The sequence below is a fragment of the Homo sapiens genome, chromosome 12 (genome assembly GCF_000001405.40).
Source record: "Homo sapiens chromosome 12, GRCh38.p14 Primary Assembly".
NCBI classification, from domain to species: domain Eukaryota; kingdom Metazoa; phylum Chordata; class Mammalia; order Primates; family Hominidae; genus Homo; species Homo sapiens.
Genome location: NC_000012.12, coordinates 46,227,462 through 46,246,036, shown reverse-complemented (window position 1 = coordinate 46,246,036; position 18,575 = coordinate 46,227,462). Strand labels below are relative to the sequence as shown.

General features: G+C 37.8%; 1 protein-coding gene across 52 annotated transcripts in view; it reads left to right on the top strand.

The window, feature by feature from the left end:
* SLC38A1 (solute carrier family 38 member 1) overlaps window positions 1-18,575 on the top strand; it is an 85,981-nt gene that overhangs the window by 23,007 nt on the left and 44,399 nt on the right. For 51 of the 52 annotated variants that reach the window (NM_001077484.2, XM_047429588.1, XM_047429598.1 and 48 more), the window contains 4 exons: window positions 2,723-2,837; window positions 6,144-6,358; window positions 16,398-16,473; window positions 16,769-16,884. In NM_001077484.2, coding sequence (NP_001070952.1) covers window positions 6,237-6,358; window positions 16,398-16,473; window positions 16,769-16,884 — 314 coding nt within the window. In that variant the 5' untranslated portion in view covers window positions 2,723-2,837; window positions 6,144-6,236. The remainder of the gene's footprint in view (window positions 1-2,722; window positions 2,838-6,143; window positions 6,359-16,397; window positions 16,474-16,768; window positions 16,885-18,575) is intronic. The other variant, NM_001278388.2, reaches the window with a different exon arrangement.

Here is an 18,575-nt window from a genome sequence, read left to right as displayed (position 1 = left end):
CGGACCGTGACAGAGATCAAGAAATAATATTTTTTAAAAGATCCTCTTCTGTTCTTGAAAATGCTTACAATACAATACACAATTTAAAAAGTAGGCTAAAAACAATCTAAAATCACCAATGCTAAATTAAAAAAGAGAAGGAAGAGGGACTAGAGCTAAAGAAAGGAAATAAAAATAAAAAAGGAAGAAAAATCTCAACAGTGGCCCATTTGGGGGTGGTAGAATTTCTTTTACAATATCTGTTCTGAAGATTCTACAGTGAGTATGTGTTACTTTTATTTATTTTTTGAGACAGGGTCTCACTCTGTTACCCAGGTTGGAGCATAGTGGCATGATCACAGCTCAGTGGAGTCTTGACCTCCCCAGGCTCAGCGCACATGTCTTTATGAGGTGGTGATTTCATTTTCTTTGGGTGTATATCCAGAAGTGGGATTACTGTGTCATATGAAACAGTAAAGTTCTACTTTTAATTTTGTTAGGAACCTCCATACTGTTTTCTATAATGGTGCACCAAACTACCTTCCCTCCAACAGTGTACAAAGATTTCCTTTTCTCCATACCCTTGCCAACACTTGTTATCTCTTGACTTTTGATAATGGCTGTCCTAAGAGCTGTGAGGTGATAGCTCATTGCAGTATGGATTTGCATTACCCTGACAGTTAATAATGTTGAGCACCTTTTCACATACTTGTGGCCATTTTTATGTATTCTTTGGAGAAATGTCTACTAATACTTTCTCAAAACCACTGACCTAGCTTATATAATTGATTCTCAGGAGTTGAGCTAGCAGAGGTCTGATTATATTAGTTCTTCACAATAAAAAACCAATGATGATTCATAACAAGTTTTAGAATTAAGTGTATGTGGCAAGATATGTAGTGCTACCCAATTTTTGTTATTTTTTGGGTTTGATAGTGATGCAGTGGTATTGTTTAAGAAGGAGGTTCTTGCCTTTTAGAGATTCTTGCTGAAATATTTATAGATGATATGTTATCAAGGACCTGCTGCAAAATAATTCCAGGTGATGGTGGGCATAAAAAAATCTAACAAGACAGGCCTGAATTGATAATTGAAGTTGGTATATGGGAGTTCATTATACCATTGTCTACTTTTACATGTGTTTAAAATTTCCAGTAATAAAAAAAATTTTAAGGGAGAAATAAAATGAAGGATATCAGTCAGGGTTTAGTTTCATTTAACAGAGATCTGTTTACGCTAAGGAAAACAGATTTAATACAGGGAATTCAGTGCCTAAAAATTTGTTAAAATTACTGGCAGTGCAGGCCCTAGGCTGGGCCTCTAGGAATAATTAACATAACACATTCAACTGGCTTGCTAAGGTTAAATGCTATCTGTGCCTCCTTCAGGAAGTCTGGAAATCAGGAAGCCATTATCTCAAGTGCATGCTAGAGGAACACATCACTTGAGCCAAATCTGATGATCAAGAATCATAGCCACAACTGTTGGCTCCAGGGCTACCTGCTGCTGCAGCACCTGCTAGAATGGTACCAGTAAAGTGGATGCCTTGCTCTGGCCACCACCACTCTCCCATTGGTGGAATCTAAATTATATCTAGAAACCTAGCTGCAAGGGAGTGTGGGAAATGTAGTTTTCAACTTTCTGTCCTTTATAGAACTGGACTGAAAAGAGGTGGGAACAAATATTGAGTGGACCAATCCACCACAAAGTGTTAGCAATTAGGCTGCCAGTACTGTCCTTGGTACAAGGAAAGTCTTCTCTCTCCCCCAGTCTAATATTACCTATTGTTAGACACAGTTCAGGTCCTATCTCTTTATTAAATTAAGACTTACCTGATCTCTCCTGGCCTCATTGATTTCTCCACCGTTCTACTTTCCTTTCTTCTTTCCTTCCTTGCTTCCTTCCCTCCTTCATGCATGTATGCACTGTGTAGGTATGTGTGTCTCTGAACCAGACTTATTCTTCGTTCTGCCATGTAGTTTAGTCTATATCATGCAATTGTTTTGAGGTACAGTGTCATTTTAGATGGGTTGGTCTTGCTTGGTTAAATAGGCTCTAATTGACTTAAGGCCAGATAAGTTTCTTTGTGTATCCTCTCCTTTGATCTATAACGCCATGCAGTATAAATAGCAAGATTATGTATTTTACATTGGTACTATTAATAAATTGTACCAATAAGCATAACAAGAAATTGATGCCTTCCTTAAGTACCTCACAAGGTTGTGGTAAGGATCAGAAATGTTCTGTGCTAAATAAATTGTAATTCGTAACCTATTATAAATGTTGACAGATAGTAATTACGGTTGTGTTAACACCAAGATCTTCACATGATGACCCTAGTCTGCCTTTTAATTAATCGTATAGCCTGATGATTATTTCTATTTTTCAGTGAAACTATAGTTCTTTGTTTCTTGAACTCAATCTGCACTTCCTGCCTCTGTGCCATTGACCATGTTCTCCCTCCACTGTGAAGTCTCAGCTCAGGCCCCATCTCCATCTGTCAGTCTTCTCTCCACCAAGCAGTCTGAATGTCCAGCAATAACCAGTTAGATGTCAATTTCTGGCAGAGTTAACCAAGTATCAACAGTAATGGTGTAGACCTGTGCTTACTGACATAACTCAGGATAGGAAATGATATCTTGTTAAGTGAAAAAAATGTTTTAAAAACTCAATGTTTGGTATCATTTCCATTTTTGTAAATGTGTATATATTTTTTATTTGTGCTCATTCTTTCATTTGACAGATATTTATTGAGTGTCTACTGTGTGCCAGGCACTATATCTATGTGCATAGAAAAACCCTGGAAGGCCATACAACAATATATATAGAGTGATCGTCTCTGCTTGCTGAGCTAACAGGTGAACTTTTTTCTTTTTGCTCATTTTATTCCATTTGAAAAATTGTATTTTCTAACTTTTCTACCAAACCTATATTAGTTAATTAATTAATTCATTTATTTTTTAATAAATTAGTATTTATTAATAAATAACTAATATTTTTTAGAATAATCACTTCTGTTCTTCAAAATGCTTACAATATGATACTCAATGAAAAAAGTAGGCTAAAAACAATCTAAAATCACCAATGCTAAACTTAAAAAAGAGAAGGAAGAGGAGCTAGAGCTAGAGAAAGGAAAGGAAAAGAGAAAAGGAAGAAAAATCTTAACAGTGGCCCATTTGGGGGTGGTAGAATTTCTTTTACAATATCTGTTCTAAAGATTCTACAGTGAGTATGTGTTGCTTTTATTTATTTTTTTGAGACAGGGTCTCACTCTGTTGCCCAGGTTGGAGCACAGTGGCATGATCACATTTCAGTGGAGCTTTGACCTCCCTAGGCTCAGATGATCTCCCACCACAGCCTCTCAAGTAGCTGGGACCACAGGCACGTGCTACACACCCAGCTAATGTTTTGTTTTGATTTTTTGTTGTTGTTTTGTTTTTTTGTTGTTGTTTGTTTTTTGTAGAGACGGGGTTTTGCCATGTTGTCTCAAATTCTTGGGCTTAAGTGATCTGCCTGCCTGGGCATCCCAAAGTGTTGAGATTACAAATATGAGCCACCATGCCCAGCCATTGTATTACTTTTAGAATTAGGAAAAAAAAATTTCAAGGTCCAATCCAAATGTGACTTTTCTATGAAGCTGCCTGAGATCCCTGCATTTAACATTTTTTAAGCTTTTTCAATCCCTTCATCACTTAGTGCTCAATAAATATATGATAAGTTGAACTGATACTATTTTTGCAAGTGTGGCCTTGGTGATAGGTGTCATTAATTTTGTTAATTTTTCTCTTCAATTTCCATTTTGATTTTCAAGAACAAGTTAGGTTTCAGAGAGGTTATTTAATAATAATAAAAAATTATTCTTTGTGATTAATTTGTACTAGTATTTGCATAATATTGACCTAATTTTAGTGACCAGGACTTCATCTGTTGTTTTCATTCTTTTGCCTTCTTCTCTGTTTCTTACTAGTTTTACACACGTGCACGCGTGTGTGATATGCATACACACACTCACATATATATACATACATATGTATTTTTAATATGAAAATTTAAACAGTAGACTCGGGATCTATTATTAGTCAATCCTTTCTTACCGCAGAAAATTTTTTGTCTGGTGCCCTATTTCCTTCCATTTTGTAGAGAGAAAAGTCTCCTTAACCCAGATTGGAAATGCCATCCGCTGAATTAACTTTCTATCAGCCCTGTAATATCACTTCAGTAGCCTGGGATGTAGTCACACAAGAGGGAGTCAGTGTGGCAAGACTTTTAGAAATTACCCAGTCTAGCCCATTTGGACAGCTTTCATCAAAGAGGGCCAAGGGGTAAGAGTGGGGTTCAACCATTTTAATTCATTTCAGCTTTTGCAACATAAGGCAGATGGTAAAACATCACCACTGCATGAAGGTACCAGAAACAATCAGAAATGGGCCGTCTCTAGCACCACCACTGTGGTTAGAGGAATCAGCCTCAGACCAGGAGTCATGAGGTCAAATCTCCCTGTCCTGGCTCTCCTCCTTCTTGAGGAAGTGCCTTGCCCTGAAGACAAGACAAGGTTCCTAGAATCTGAGATGTTATAAACATGTGTATATTATGGCACATTACAGGATCCTGAAACCAGGGAAGTTTTATTCTAGATAGGAGACTGTGTGAATGAAAAGAATAATGTGTGGCCTGGCTGTGGAAAGAGGAAAAGAGGGGGATACCTGGAAAAGTTATCATTCTAAGGCACTTTCTGTGGGTCTTCAAAATAATAGAAATTAGTAAGATGCTTCTTGAAATATTACTTAGTTGGGCGCATTGAGGTTTGACCCTTAACTAGGCTATAGCCATCTTATGGAATTTAGGATCAGACAAAATTCAAAACATTGTCCAAGGGGATTTGCTAATGACATTTTTTTTAAAAAAAACCAGCTCATTGACATTCTGCTTGATTCCATGGTCCCCATCACTTTGCTGAGAGTATCACGGTGAGGCTCCCCATGCATTATACGCCTTGCTTTTGAAGTTGCATTTGCCTCTGTGGCCATCTGCTTTTTAGACAAGATTGGGCACATTCAGGGTGGCATGGCCATAGACAAGCCATCTGCTTTTTAATTCGTGAGGCTGCTGTGCCCCCAAAATTCTTTTTCTCCCTCCCTACTTACTATGGGTGATCCCTCAGAAACTTAAACCACAGTCATCCATATGGGAGAAAATGTGAACTCTGGAGGTTTTTCATTTCTGATGAGTAATATAGTAGCAGTTGGATTAAACCAAATCCTTTGAGTATGAGTTTTTAATTCCCTAATTCCCTGACATAAAGTGATTTCATTGAAGAGATTGATTTAATCTCTTGCAGTTGATGGATACACTACTTGCAAAATTTCAAAACATAAATTTGTTGTTTACTGGTTGACTACCAGGGTTGCGTGCTTGATCCCAGGATTTGCATTTTTCTTTAAGCTGGGATTGCTAAACCGAAGGTGCTTTTGTGTCTGTGCAGTCTGTACCAGCTATGTGTGTGCTCTGCGATCTGACACATTAAAATAACTGAATCACTTTCATTTTAAAAGCACTGCTTCAGGCCGGGTGCGGTGGCTCACGCCTGTAATTTGAACACTTTGGGAGGCTGAGGAGGGCGGATCACCTGAGGTCAGTAGTTTGAGACCAGCCTGACCAACATGGAGAAACCTGTCTCTACTAAAAATACAAAAATTTGCCAGGCGTGGTGGCGCATGCCTGTAATCACAGCTACTTGGGAGGCTGAGGCAGGAGAATCGCTTGAACCAGGGAAGCAGAGGTTGCAGTGAGCCGAGACTGTGCCATTACACTCCAGCCTGGGCAACAAGAGCGAGACTCCATCTCAAAGAACAACAACAACACTGCTTCATATCATAAAAGGGGGTCTCTGTTACCTACAGCTAACATGATATTCTTATAAACCTGATCAGTAAGATTATGGGGCATGATTCACTGTATAGTTAAAAATGGAAGGAAATCTATAAAAGGCATAAAATTTAGATACACCTCCATAACTTGATAGACAAAGATTGCTTTAATGCATCTAGTAGCAACATGTAAAATTGTATAATCAGTAAATTAACTACTTGTTTATTTGTGGTAATTTATTTTTAATCAGTAGCGTTTCATATGTTTAGTTATTTTTTTATTTTGCTATATTTTAGGGGTGTCAAGCTTCCATTTTGGTATCTACTTCTAAATACACTCAGAACAGGAGAAATTTGGACTAATTTTCAAACTACAGACACTTTCTAATCATGATGCATTTCAAAAGTGGACTCGAATTAACTGAGTTGCAAAACATGACAGTGCCCGAGGATGATAACATTAGCAATGACTCCAATGATTTCACCGAAGTAGAAAATGGTCAGATAAATAGGTGAGTATTTTTCCACTAACATTTCTATCCAGTGAAAGAAATGGCTCGTGGCTCACACCTGTAATCCCATCACTTTGGGAGGCCGAGGTGGGTGGATCATTTGAGGTCAGGAATTCGAGACCAGCCTGACCAACATGGTGAAACCCACCAACATGGTGAAACCCCGTCTCTACTAAAAATACAAAAAATTAGCCAGGCATGTGGTGCATGCCTGTAGTCCCAGCTACTTGGGAGGCTGAGGCAGGAGAATCGCTTGAACCTGAGAGGCGGAGGTTGCAGTGAGCCGAGATCATGCCACTGCACTACAGCCTGGATGACAGAGTGAAACTCTGTCTCAGAAAAAAAAAAAAAAAGTAAAGAAAAAGAAATGGTTTTAAAAATTATTCTGGTTTTTAGTTATTCTGTTGAATTATTCATTACTAAAGTTATGTTCCATTTGAAGATATAATTTGAATTTCTTATGTGACATCTGTTGGGCATAGTCTGCAATAGCAAATGAAGCAAATAGGAAAGTAATTTATTCATCTTTTAAAATCTTTCAATTGAGACTAATAAAAATGTATGAATACATTGAACCCCAACCAAGCTCTGTGTTATGAATTAAACAGACTACTGGAATTTCACTGCATCCCATATCCAAATGTGTACTACAGTCATCTGTACATATTTTAATCAAGAAATGGTCAAAGTTGCATTTGCTAATGAATCTGTGTTAAACTACAAGTGTGTCATCCTTATAAGCATCATTTGTAGTATGGATTTTAAATAATAATAATGGTTGAGCCCAAATGACTCTGTGAGGAACTATAATAGAGACATAGTACATAAAAGAAAAAGAGAAGGAAAGCGACCACAACTGAGGAGAGAAGCAATGGGGAAGAAGTAGAGGGTCAGGGTAGGAAGAGTGCTGGCCTGGAAGCTCCCAGCCACTAGCTGTGTCCTCAGGCAAGTCCTTCCAACCCTTGGGTCTTTATTGCTTACATCACAAGAGTAGAACCAAATGTCTTTTTAAAAAAATGATTTGTGGCATTCTTAGACCCACTGATTGTCTAGGTGGCTTAGCAGGAAGCCTCCAGCTTGGGAGTTAGCGGCACAGCCTCCTGAAAGATTAGGAGAAGAGAGTGACATATGCAGGACTGTTAGAACACCTACAATGTTATACTTTGGGAGGGTCAAAAGGAAATTGGGATGGAAGAGGATAAGAACATTATGTCAACTAACCAGGCATCTTTGTAGAAATCATTTCTGATGGCCTACATTCTGATAAAGTATGTGATTAAAAGCCCAGCATAGGATTTAGCTACCATCATTTATTAACACAGATGTTCTCCTTTTTTCCTCCTTTAAATGTTCTTAAGAGGTTAAGTCCCCAACTCAGACACTTTTCCTCATTATTATCCAAGTACGGTCAACTGTGCTAGGTGATGTTTCTTACTATGGGGCTCAAGTGTACTTACTTCTTTCATCTTTTTTGAGTAATTCTTAATAATAATACCCATTTCTTGAGTGCCAGGTATTTTACATAAGCTACCACATATCCTTAATAACTGCCATGCACAAGTATTCTTCTGCAAGTGAGAAAAATGTAAAGTTTCCGTTTACAAATAAGGAAACTAAGGTTCAGAGGAAGAAAATAACTTATCCAAGGGTACACACAGGTCTGTCTAAAATTTGTGTATTTTTACTCTACCCTCCTCCCTCTGGTTATAATGCTTGGGCATTGGTAAAAAGCTAGTCTTTAATAGTTCTATTAAATGCTACCAGGGCCATTTTATGTGCTGTACTCCTGGACAGTTCAGTAGTCCCTGCTGACCTCCACTGAACAGTGGAAGGAATTCTCACCACAAGTAGGACATTGTGGTTTTATAAAATTATCAAAGCAATCCATTATCAAAGCAATCCAAACCTCAAGGGCCTTAAAGGTGGGAGTCATTTATAATAGTCAGTTTAGAATCTGAACTTGATTTTTAAAAGTGTCACTTACTAAAAATGTCAAGTTTTTAGATGATTACCACTTGCAGTAGATGGGAGAAACATCTATTCTCACCCGCAACTTAGGCACCTTGCCTGGATGAGCTCACTTCCCTATAGGCTCCAACCAGGGCAAGCGTTGGTACAGAGGGAGGTCTGTTGGCTTTTGGTTCCTGTATTGCAAATGCAGTGTGATGAGTTTTTGTTTGTTTGTTTGTTTTTCTTTATTTCCCCTCCTTCTCTGACTCAGTTCATGACTCTTGCTTCATTTCTCGCTCTAACACAATTAAAAACAACATGTTATAGCATGAAGCTAATAAAGAAAAAGACCCTTGCCAATTTTATTGAAGGTCCCTACTGGGTTATCTGGCTTACTGTATTGGCATATTTTAGTAGTCCATGATTCCTGCAAAAACTACACCTAAATACCCCTCATTCTTCCTGCGGCTTTCTCAAATTTGTGGGAGGAAGGTAGGTCCAATTATATGAATCTAAGAAAACCACTTCTCCCCAAACAGTGAACTTTTAGGAAGCTGGAGAAAATGTTGAAAACAAACATTGATGGTGTGTTACTTGGCATCTAGCTGATAGCTCCGCCTGGAAACTTTGCAATTGGATACAATAAGAACCTTTTATTCTTTTAAGTTTGGTTGAAAATAAAAGTGGAGTCATTTGAGCATTCAGACATCTGCCGTTATTCCAGTTCAGTTGTTTTATTTCATGCCCAAATTTTGGGGTTGTAGTCATAGAAACCTATACCTGGAATGGCAATACCTTTTAAAATATCCATTAGACCAGTGCTGCCAACTGGTGTTTTAATGTGTGTATGAAACACTTGGAAACCTTGTTAAATGCAGATTCTGATTCTGTAAGTCTGGGGTGGGGTCTGCAATTCTGATTCCTAGCAAATTCCCAGGTGACGCCCATAACTGCTGATCCATGAACCAAACTTTGAGTAGAAAGCTCTAGACTGTTCCTCTAAATGTGAACTTCTTGTGAAAAGGGACTGTCTTAATCATCTTTATATTCCTTCTGCCTATCCTAGTGTCTAGGCAGGGTGGACTGCCTATCCTAGTGTCTAGGTAATGTCTACAGGGTGGACATTACAAATTATGTGTTGACTGAGAGAGAGAGTAAAGTACATGGCTTTGGATTTAGACTTGCATTGAATCCCAGCTCTATCATAGATCTTATTGATCTTGTGCTCTGAGCCTCAATCCCATCCCTTTAAGATGGGGATAATAATAATACCTTTCCTCATGGGATTGTTGGGGAATGTTTAATGCACTATTATCTGTAGGTTAAGAACATAGGCTCTGCACTTAGCCTGCTTATATTCAAATCCTGCCACAACAGGTTAGTTAGCCCATTTATGCCTAGTGTTCCATTATTGGAACGCTAAGCTTGTGGGACTTATTTATATCCTACTGCTCAAGGTCATTGCCAAGGTCTAATTTTTCACACATAAAAAATTGCAACCCCTGGCATAAATGGGTTAATAGTAATGTAACTTAGGTCAAGTTACTTAATTTTTCCAAACTGGGGCTAAAAATAATACCAACCACATATAATTATTGTGAAAATAAATGAGGAAATTCATGTAAAGTACTTGGCACAGTGTCTGGCAATAGTAAGCCTCTTAGTATGAGAAAAGTCTATCGGTAAAAATGCAGTCCCCTTTCTTTGGCAAGCACTTCTTTCTTCTTCACCTCAAGAAGCAATGACATTGCTCTAGGTTTTGGATGATTGCTGGTTATTGCCACCTTAAATTTGGTGAAACATTAGTAGATTATTCTAGGTGTACCCAGACAAATATGCTTGTATTTTAATATTTATCTGCTATTGTTCTTTCTGTATACTTATTGCTATTATGACCCAGGAACTATTTAACAAAATTTGAGATTTTTTCATTAAGATTTGTTTTTAAAAGAATTCGAGGCAACTCTTGTCACTACACCCTGAACCCACTTGTCTTTATATATCTTTTGGAGTTTGTGGGCTAAATTTTTATCACTTGAGAGCACCCTTGAAAAGTTATCCCTCTTCTTCTATGTTTTCTATACCTTAGGGAAGAAGATTCCATAACTTCTTTCTGTATTCAATTTTCATGTCAGAAAATTCTTCTCTTGCTTTCATTTCTCCTGTTACAATTAAAGTCTTTTTTTCCTATTTTCAGTGGAATTTGTCCATCAAATAAGGCTTTGCTTACCTCTCAGTCTTCTCTTCTCTTTAGATTCCTGTTTCTTCAATTCTCCCTTTTCATGTTTTCCAATATCTTTGTTACTTGCTTCTTCCCTTTCATTTTATTCTCCTTTTTAATACAATGTTAGCATTTCAGAGAAAGGAGTAGGAAAGGTCATTTAAGTTCAACCACTCATCTCTTTTATGTTATGAATTCTCAGAGGAAACAGTATAATCTAGTAAGAACCTGATTAAAATAGGAAGATTATCTTTCTGTTGTACAACTCATCCTTAATTAGATTGTTACTGTTGATTTGTTTCTGGTTTTAAATAACAGAACCTCTCTGTTTCTTGCCTCTCTGTTTCTTGCCTCTCTTCACAATGTACCTTAGTATAACAGCTTACATCATTTTTTAAGGCTTTGTCTGTTCAGGGTCACCCAATCACCCATTGTGGAGTTTGTTTTGTTTTGTTTGTTCACAGAGCAATTGGCTACCTAATGGTTAATTAAATTCTGTTTTATGGGTACAGACACACCCAATGAGAACTCTTTTTTTAATAATATTTTATCATCCTGAGATAACATGTCAAAGGCACCTTCTTCCATAGCATATTTAAAGTCAATAAAGAGAAATATTACATCAACTATTTTGCCAGAGGTCGTGTTTTTTAACAAGCAAGTGCATCTTTTAAATGGTGAGACAGCAGAAACTTGTGATACGCTGCTTGACCCAGTTATTTTGAATGGAATTTTCCATTACAAAAAGTTAGTTAGTTTTATGTATTTTTTAAATGTATAGAAATACAAAGCAAACACTTTGGGAGGCCGAGGCGGGCGGATCACGAGGTCAGGAGATCGATACCATCCTGGCTAACACGGTGAAACCCCGTCTCTACTAAAAATACAAAAAATTAGCCGGGTACGGTGGCGGGCGCCTGTGGTCCCAGCTACTCGGGAGGCTGAGGCAGGAGAATGGCGTGAACCCAGGAGGCGGAGCTTGCAGTGAGCCGAGATAGCGCCACTGCAGTCCGGCCTGGGCGAAAGACAGAGACTCCGTCTCAACAAAAAAAAAAAAAAAAGAAAGAAAGAAAAAAAGAAATACAAAGCAAAGATGTAAAGACTTAAAGAGAAGAAAAAGTTGAAACACCATAAAGAGAATAGGGACGCTTTAAGTACTTCATTCTTATTGAGCTAAATTTCCCTCCAGCTTAAGCTACTCCCTAATTTCTAAACAGAAGATGCATGTTCAGCTTATGGAGAGCTCCTCTGAGTTGCTAATGTGTGGTTAGGTACATATTAGAAGGAGCTGAGAGACAGCACTGGACAACCACAATTCAAGATGAGTTCAGTGTTGACAGAGTGTAGTACAGATAAAGTAATAAGTAGGTCACAGTCCAAAAATTCCAAACCAGAGTGTGGAAGACTTGTGGATGATGAGGGTTTTGAACTGATAGGGAAAGATTGGCTGAGAGGAAGAAAGAGGACCTCCTCAAGGGAAAGTGAATTCCTACTGCCATCTTGTTTTTCATTCTCTGCTCTCAGAATGCACTGATTGTATCTCAGCCCTCAGCACCTCAGGAGGAGCAGGGGGAGCTAAGATTGGAACATTGAGGCAAAAGCAAATTAAGTAGTACCTGGAATTGCAGGGTGAGGAATTTGTGCTTGAAGCTAATTCAGTGGGTGAGGCAGTGAAGATTTTTGGGAAAACCTATTAAGTCTTGTTGCAGAAAGTAGACTGAAAGAGACAGAACCAAGGAGACACTCTACAAATAATGTGTTTTAATGTGCTATTTAACGGTTACTCATTAAAATAGCTCTGTCAGTATCATTATTCTCATTATGCAGAAGTTCTGCAGGAAACAGCTGGCAGTCATACAGGGACTTATTCTTTATCTGCTTCAACTGTACAATGTTTGACCTGGCTGAATGCCCCCTCATGTCACAGTGCCTGGATCTCTTTCTTCTCTGCTCACCTATGCTTTGCTACCAACCCAGGGGAGTGTTACCAGGCCTGGAATTTAGATCTTCCATAACGGGCAGTTTATTGGTGTTTTGTTTGGTTTGTTTGAAAATATTTGCTTTTCTATTAATTTAAATATAATGGAAATTCTCTGGAAAACAAGTCCCTCCACAAGAAAGGCAAAGGAAAACTGCTGGATAGACTTAGTAGACTTGAGTTGGTTATGAAAATTAGCCAGATTAGGTCAAGCACAGTGGCTCACACCTGTAATCCCAGTACTTTGGGAAGGCGAGTTTGGAAGAATCACTTGAGCCAAGGAGTTCGAGACCAGCGTGGGCAACATAGCAAGACTCCATCCCTACACAATTTTTTTTAAAAGATAAGCTGGGTGTGGTGGTGTGTGCCCGTAGTCCCAGCTACTTGGGAGGCTGAGGCAGGAGGATTACTTGAGCCTAGGAGCTCCAGGTTACAGTGAGCTATGATTGTGTCACTGCACTCCAGCTTGGGCAGCAAAGCAAGAACTTGTCTCTAAAATAATAATAATAATAATAAAATTAGCTTGACGAAATACATTTGGCTGCCCATATCCTTGGGTTCTGCAACTGCAGATTTAACTCAGGATTGAAAATATTTGAGAAAACAAACACAAATTGACAATACAACAATTTAAAAAATGCAAATTTAAAAATATAGTATAACAACTATTTACCTAGCATTTGTATTAGGTATTATAAGTAGTCTAGAGATGACTTAAAGTATACAGGAGGATATGCATAGGTTATATGCAAATTCTATAACTATTTTATGTTAGGGACTTGAGCATCCTTGGATTTTGGTATCTCAGAAGAGAGAGGGGTATCCTAGAACCAATCCCCTACAAATACCAAGGGACACTGTACAGTCTTTTGACAACAACACTTAAATATTTTGACTCAATTTCATTTTGGAAAGTCCAGTCCCCACTTTTCTTAGGGCAGCCTGTGTGAAAGGGAAGGCTGCTTTCCCCTGCCATTCTGCAGCCAGATCTGTAAACCTTAGTTCTGTGGAAAGATTCAAAACATTAAAGACAAAAGAAAAGCCAAAGCAGTTATTAGCAGCAATGCTATATACAACCACCAGAGTTTGCCTGCAAATATATTGCTTTTATTATGTCAATCTCTTGCTAAGAACATTCTATATTATTTCTTAGGCTTTTGTCTTTTAGTTTCCTCTGGCTAATCCCAGTCTGTGCTGGTTTTTTCCTTCTCTGGACTCCTTACCTCATCTTAATCTGCACAGCCTGACGTTCCTATACTGGTGTTACCTGGTATGGTCTCTCCTTGTCCGAATGTCAGCTCTTGTGTTTCAAGAGACCAAGGTTTTTCTTCCACATCCTTTTGGTCCCCAGCAGGTCCTAGCCAAAAGCAGTGTCTGCAGATTGTATAGCTTATACCAACTGATGATCCCAGAGTAAGTTTGTAGTAAGTGTATTGCCTAACTTTGGTTATTTTGTTTGAAATAACACAAACTTGGAGAAATAATGCCTGAAAGAACCAGATCCCTTGGATAAAGATGAAAAACGTCAATGAATAAAATCAACATCAATGATACATATGTTTCATTTAAAAATGTTTTATTGTGAAATATAGCATCATTGAAAAAAGTGTATGAGGCTGGGTGCGGTGGCTCATGCCTGTAATCCCAACACTTTGGGAGGCCAGGAGTTCAAGACCAGCCTGGCTGGCATAGCAAAACCACGTCTCTACTAAAAATACAAAAATTAGCTGGGCGTGGTGGTGCATACCTGTAATCCCAGCTACTTGGGAGGCTGAGGCACTAGAATCACTTGAGCCTGGGAAGTGGAGATTGTACAACTGCACTGCAGCCTGGGTGACTGAGTGAGACTCTGTCTCAGAAAAAAGTTTATTAAAATCTAATGTACAGTTTAAATAGGCATGCATCATTGCTTCATTAAACTAGTCCAGTTCAAGTGGTTTTATATTTATTAATGCAAAATTCACTGTCATTTGTTCTAACCATGATCAGGTAATTGAATTTCCAGACTAGAAGAGCCAAAAAGCATCCTTAACATATCTTACTAATATATGCAGCAGTTTGCCTATGCCTGGACTTTTAATTTCATTTAATTTTTTATTTTTATAGATTTAGGAGGTACAAGTCCAGTTGTGTTACACAAATATAATACATAGTGGTGAAGTTTGGGCTTTTAAAATAGTAAACGTTGTACCCATTGGATAGTGTTTCATCCCTTGCCCCCTCCCACCTTCCCCTTCTTTGGAGTCTCCAGTGTCTATTATTTCACTCTCTATGTCCACGTGTACCCGTTGTTTAGCTCCCACTTATGAGTAAGAACATTCAGGTTTTGATGTTCTGTTTCTGAGTCATTTCATATAGACCTTCAGCTCTACCCACGTTGCTGCAAAAGACATGATTTTATTATTTGTTATGGTGACATAGTATTCCGTGGTATACATCTACACTACATTTTCTTTATCTAGTCATCTGTTGATGGACACTTAGGTTGATTCCATGACTTTGCTATGGTGAATAGTGCTGTGATAAATATATGAATGCAGGTATTTTTTTGATATAATAGTTTCCTTTCCTTTGGGTAGATACCCAGTAGTGGGATTGCTAGATGGAATGGTGTTCTATTTTTAGTTCTTTGAGGAATCTTCATACTGTTTTCCATAGAGACTGTCTTAATTTAAGTTCCCACCAATGGTGTATAAGCATTCCTTTTTTTCCACATCCTCGCCAACATCTGCTGTTGGAGTTTTCTTTGACAAAATCATTTGTTGGATAATTTTTTTAAATTAGAAATTTAGGCTATAAAGTTTTGATACTCACCCTGAATATATTTGATGATTCTTAAAGAAAGCATTTTAAATTCTTACTTCTGTATATTTGTACATCATTTACTCCATTTAGCCTGGCTGAATTGTTCCCATCTCAAGTCCTATTTTCCCCATGGAGAAGACTGTCTAACATCTATTGCTGTTACTCTGTGCCAGGTGCTGGACTGATGTTTAACATGTACTCTCTCATTTAAGTCTCCCAATAACTTGATAAGATGATGTAATAGTGTTAACTTCTGTTTCCCAGATGAGGAAACTAGGGTAGCATGCTCAGGCCCTCAGAGATAGTGAGGATTTGAATTCAAGTTCTAAGTCCCTTGCTTTCTCAAAGCCTTGGCTCTGACCCTCACCATCGACCATATGCCTTGCCTCCCACCGTAATTTCCTAGTCTGAACTCCTGTAGCCTCCTGTTTGCATCACTTATTACCTACCCCCGTGTCTCCCCAGTGCCTGTTCCAGTGACTTGCATATAGCAGGCGCTGAAGGAATGTCTGACGGTGAAACAGTTCTTTTCTTTTCTGCAAGGGAGAGGGAATTTCTATTTAACAATTTTGTAGTCCAAGAACCTGAGCTCAAAAGAAAACTTGCCTCTAGTATCCTTTTAAATACCAGGTTTATAGTAGTCTTGATATTATCTAATTTTCCACTTAGGGAAAAACTATACAAAAATTAATTTATGTTGCATATAGTGTTTAAATTTATTATTAAAATGATTCAAAATGTATAGCTGTTTTTGACTTACGGTTGTCTTTCATTTCATCTCAAGATGAGCACCTGTTATTGGCATTGTTTTGTACAAGGTAGAGTGCAGGATATAAAAATGAATGAGGCAAAGTGCCTGCCCTTGGGGCACTTATAGTTTATTTGGTAAAACGAGAATATAGACAACTCATAATGGCAAAAGAAAAAAAGGTGGGGGGAGTTGGTGGTTGAATAGGGCTGTAAACTCTTAGAGAGCTGATTGGTAACTGTTCATGTATGTTTTGATGAGTAACATATCATTTAGTAAAGATGTCAAGCTTCAAATCATTATCATAAGGTTAAATATATTACGCATGTCTTTACAGCAAGTTTATTTCTGATCGTGAAAGTAGAAGAAGTCTCACAAACAGCCATTTGGAAAAAAAGAAGTGTGATGAGTATGTAAGTATCATTATAATGAAGTATGCTTATTTTTTTAATCATATAAATTGGGACAAATCTTTTTAATTCAAGTAGCATAGTACCAAAAGCATAACTACCTGTATTCACCAGGATATTCCTCATACCTTATGTATTTTCTCTTGAAATCCATTCAAGGAAATAACTAGATAACTAAGAATGGATTTTCTTGAATTTTACTTCCATATTGGTTCCTGAGAGTGCATTAAAGGCTTTGGCTTGATGAACTTTCTTGGGGATTATTTTGCTTAGTGTCAATGTTTGTTTCTTTGTTCAGATTCCAGGTACAACCTCCTTAGGCATGTCTGTTTTTAACCTAAGCAACGCCATTATGGGCAGTGGGATTTTGGGACTCGCCTTTGCCCTGGCAAACACTGGAATCCTACTTTTTCTGTGAGTATTGACGTGCCGGTACTTTCCATTTTAAAACTGAACTTTTTGTATGTTTCTGTTATTACATAGAAGAAATGTGAAATATTTATAAATAGTTTTTTTATTAACTTGGCTAAGTTACAAGTACATACTTTGATATTTATTGCTTGAGTGATTTTCCAAACTGTACCTAATGCTTACAACAAAGAGGAAGGAGAAAATCTTTTTATTAATCAAAAATACTGAAATAAGCATTTGTGAAAAGGATTAAAACATTTGAAAATAACTTTTTTTGGTATTTTTGGAGTCTACCTGTGACTTTAAATCTCAGTTAAAATATTAAGAGGTGTTTAACCCCAGCCAGTCACCACTTTGGCATTTGGATTGCTGTGAAGCGTGTACTACATCAAAGGGCAATTACAAATTTGTTTGTAATAAATATTCAAGAAGCATAGAAATTTTCAGTGTTTTGAAGATGAGAAATTAGCATGTACTTTCCCACTGAGATTCAATGAAAAGAAAATGGGCAATTTTCTTTTTAAATAACTTTATCTCAAACTGTTGAATGGGACTTTCTGCAAATGTATGGAGGGCTTATTTTTAGTTGGAACAAGATTAAGAGAGATGATAGAATTTGTACTAAGAAAATTCTCGCCCAGCCTGATTCCCTCTCAAATGTCACACGAGTGTCAGTGGTGAGGTGAGGGAGAAAGCACTTCTCCGAGGATCTTGCCTTTTGTTCCCTGACTTGAAACTCACGCTTTTCATTGGCCTGGCTAGATAGTCCTTGTTGCCATGTCCTTTTGACAGGAGCATCATTTCCTTACAAGCAGTGACCGAAATGGTTACTAATCCTACAAACTGTGGATATCCTTTCAAAAAAGACATCAAAAACTGAGATAAAAGAATATTACTGCCCATTCCATTACTCCAGGAACAGAAATGCCCATCCATGCTGCCCTGTGTTAGGCATTAATTTTGTGTGTGTGTAAATTAACATGTCCTTTCTAAAATTAAAAGACTGTGTAAGATGGTGAATTCGATACATTGTCTTCCATATTGTCAGCCTAATTCAGTGAACCTAACTCTAGCCTCCTCTCTTGATCACTCTGAATGCATCTTTCTAAGTTGCCTTTCCGCTTGAGCTGAGTGCCAGGTTTTAGGGTAATATGGCAGAATTGGACAACATATTTCTATGGTGATTTTTTTGAGTATATGTGAAATTCTGACTCTCTGAGGATAGTAGACTGCTTGAGGAGCTACACTTCTGGTTTTCAGTGCATTTACATGAGACACCTGAGCGCTACTCCCAACTCCTCTTCTAAATGGCTATGTAGTTTTAAGCAAGTTTCTTAGCCACTCTGAGCTTCAGTTCCTTCCTCTTCAAAACAAGGAAATTGTGCAAGAAAAATTTCAGAACCAGGCCAACCTCCAAAACGCTATGGTTCTGTGACTATTTTCAGTCATTCCAAAGCTGGGAATATGTTCACTTCAGAATGTGTATTACATTGATTTCTTTTTTTAAAAGTTATTGCAATATGTCAAGTTATAAATTAACCTAGTGTAAAAAGTCAATTCTTTGATGGTTGTAACAACAGTAATTCTTGTATCTCTACAAGAGATACAAGTAGTATCTGGTAGTGCCAGGCATTATTCCAAGTGTTTTATGCAGAATCCTTACAATAACTCTATGAAGTAGCTGCTATCATTAA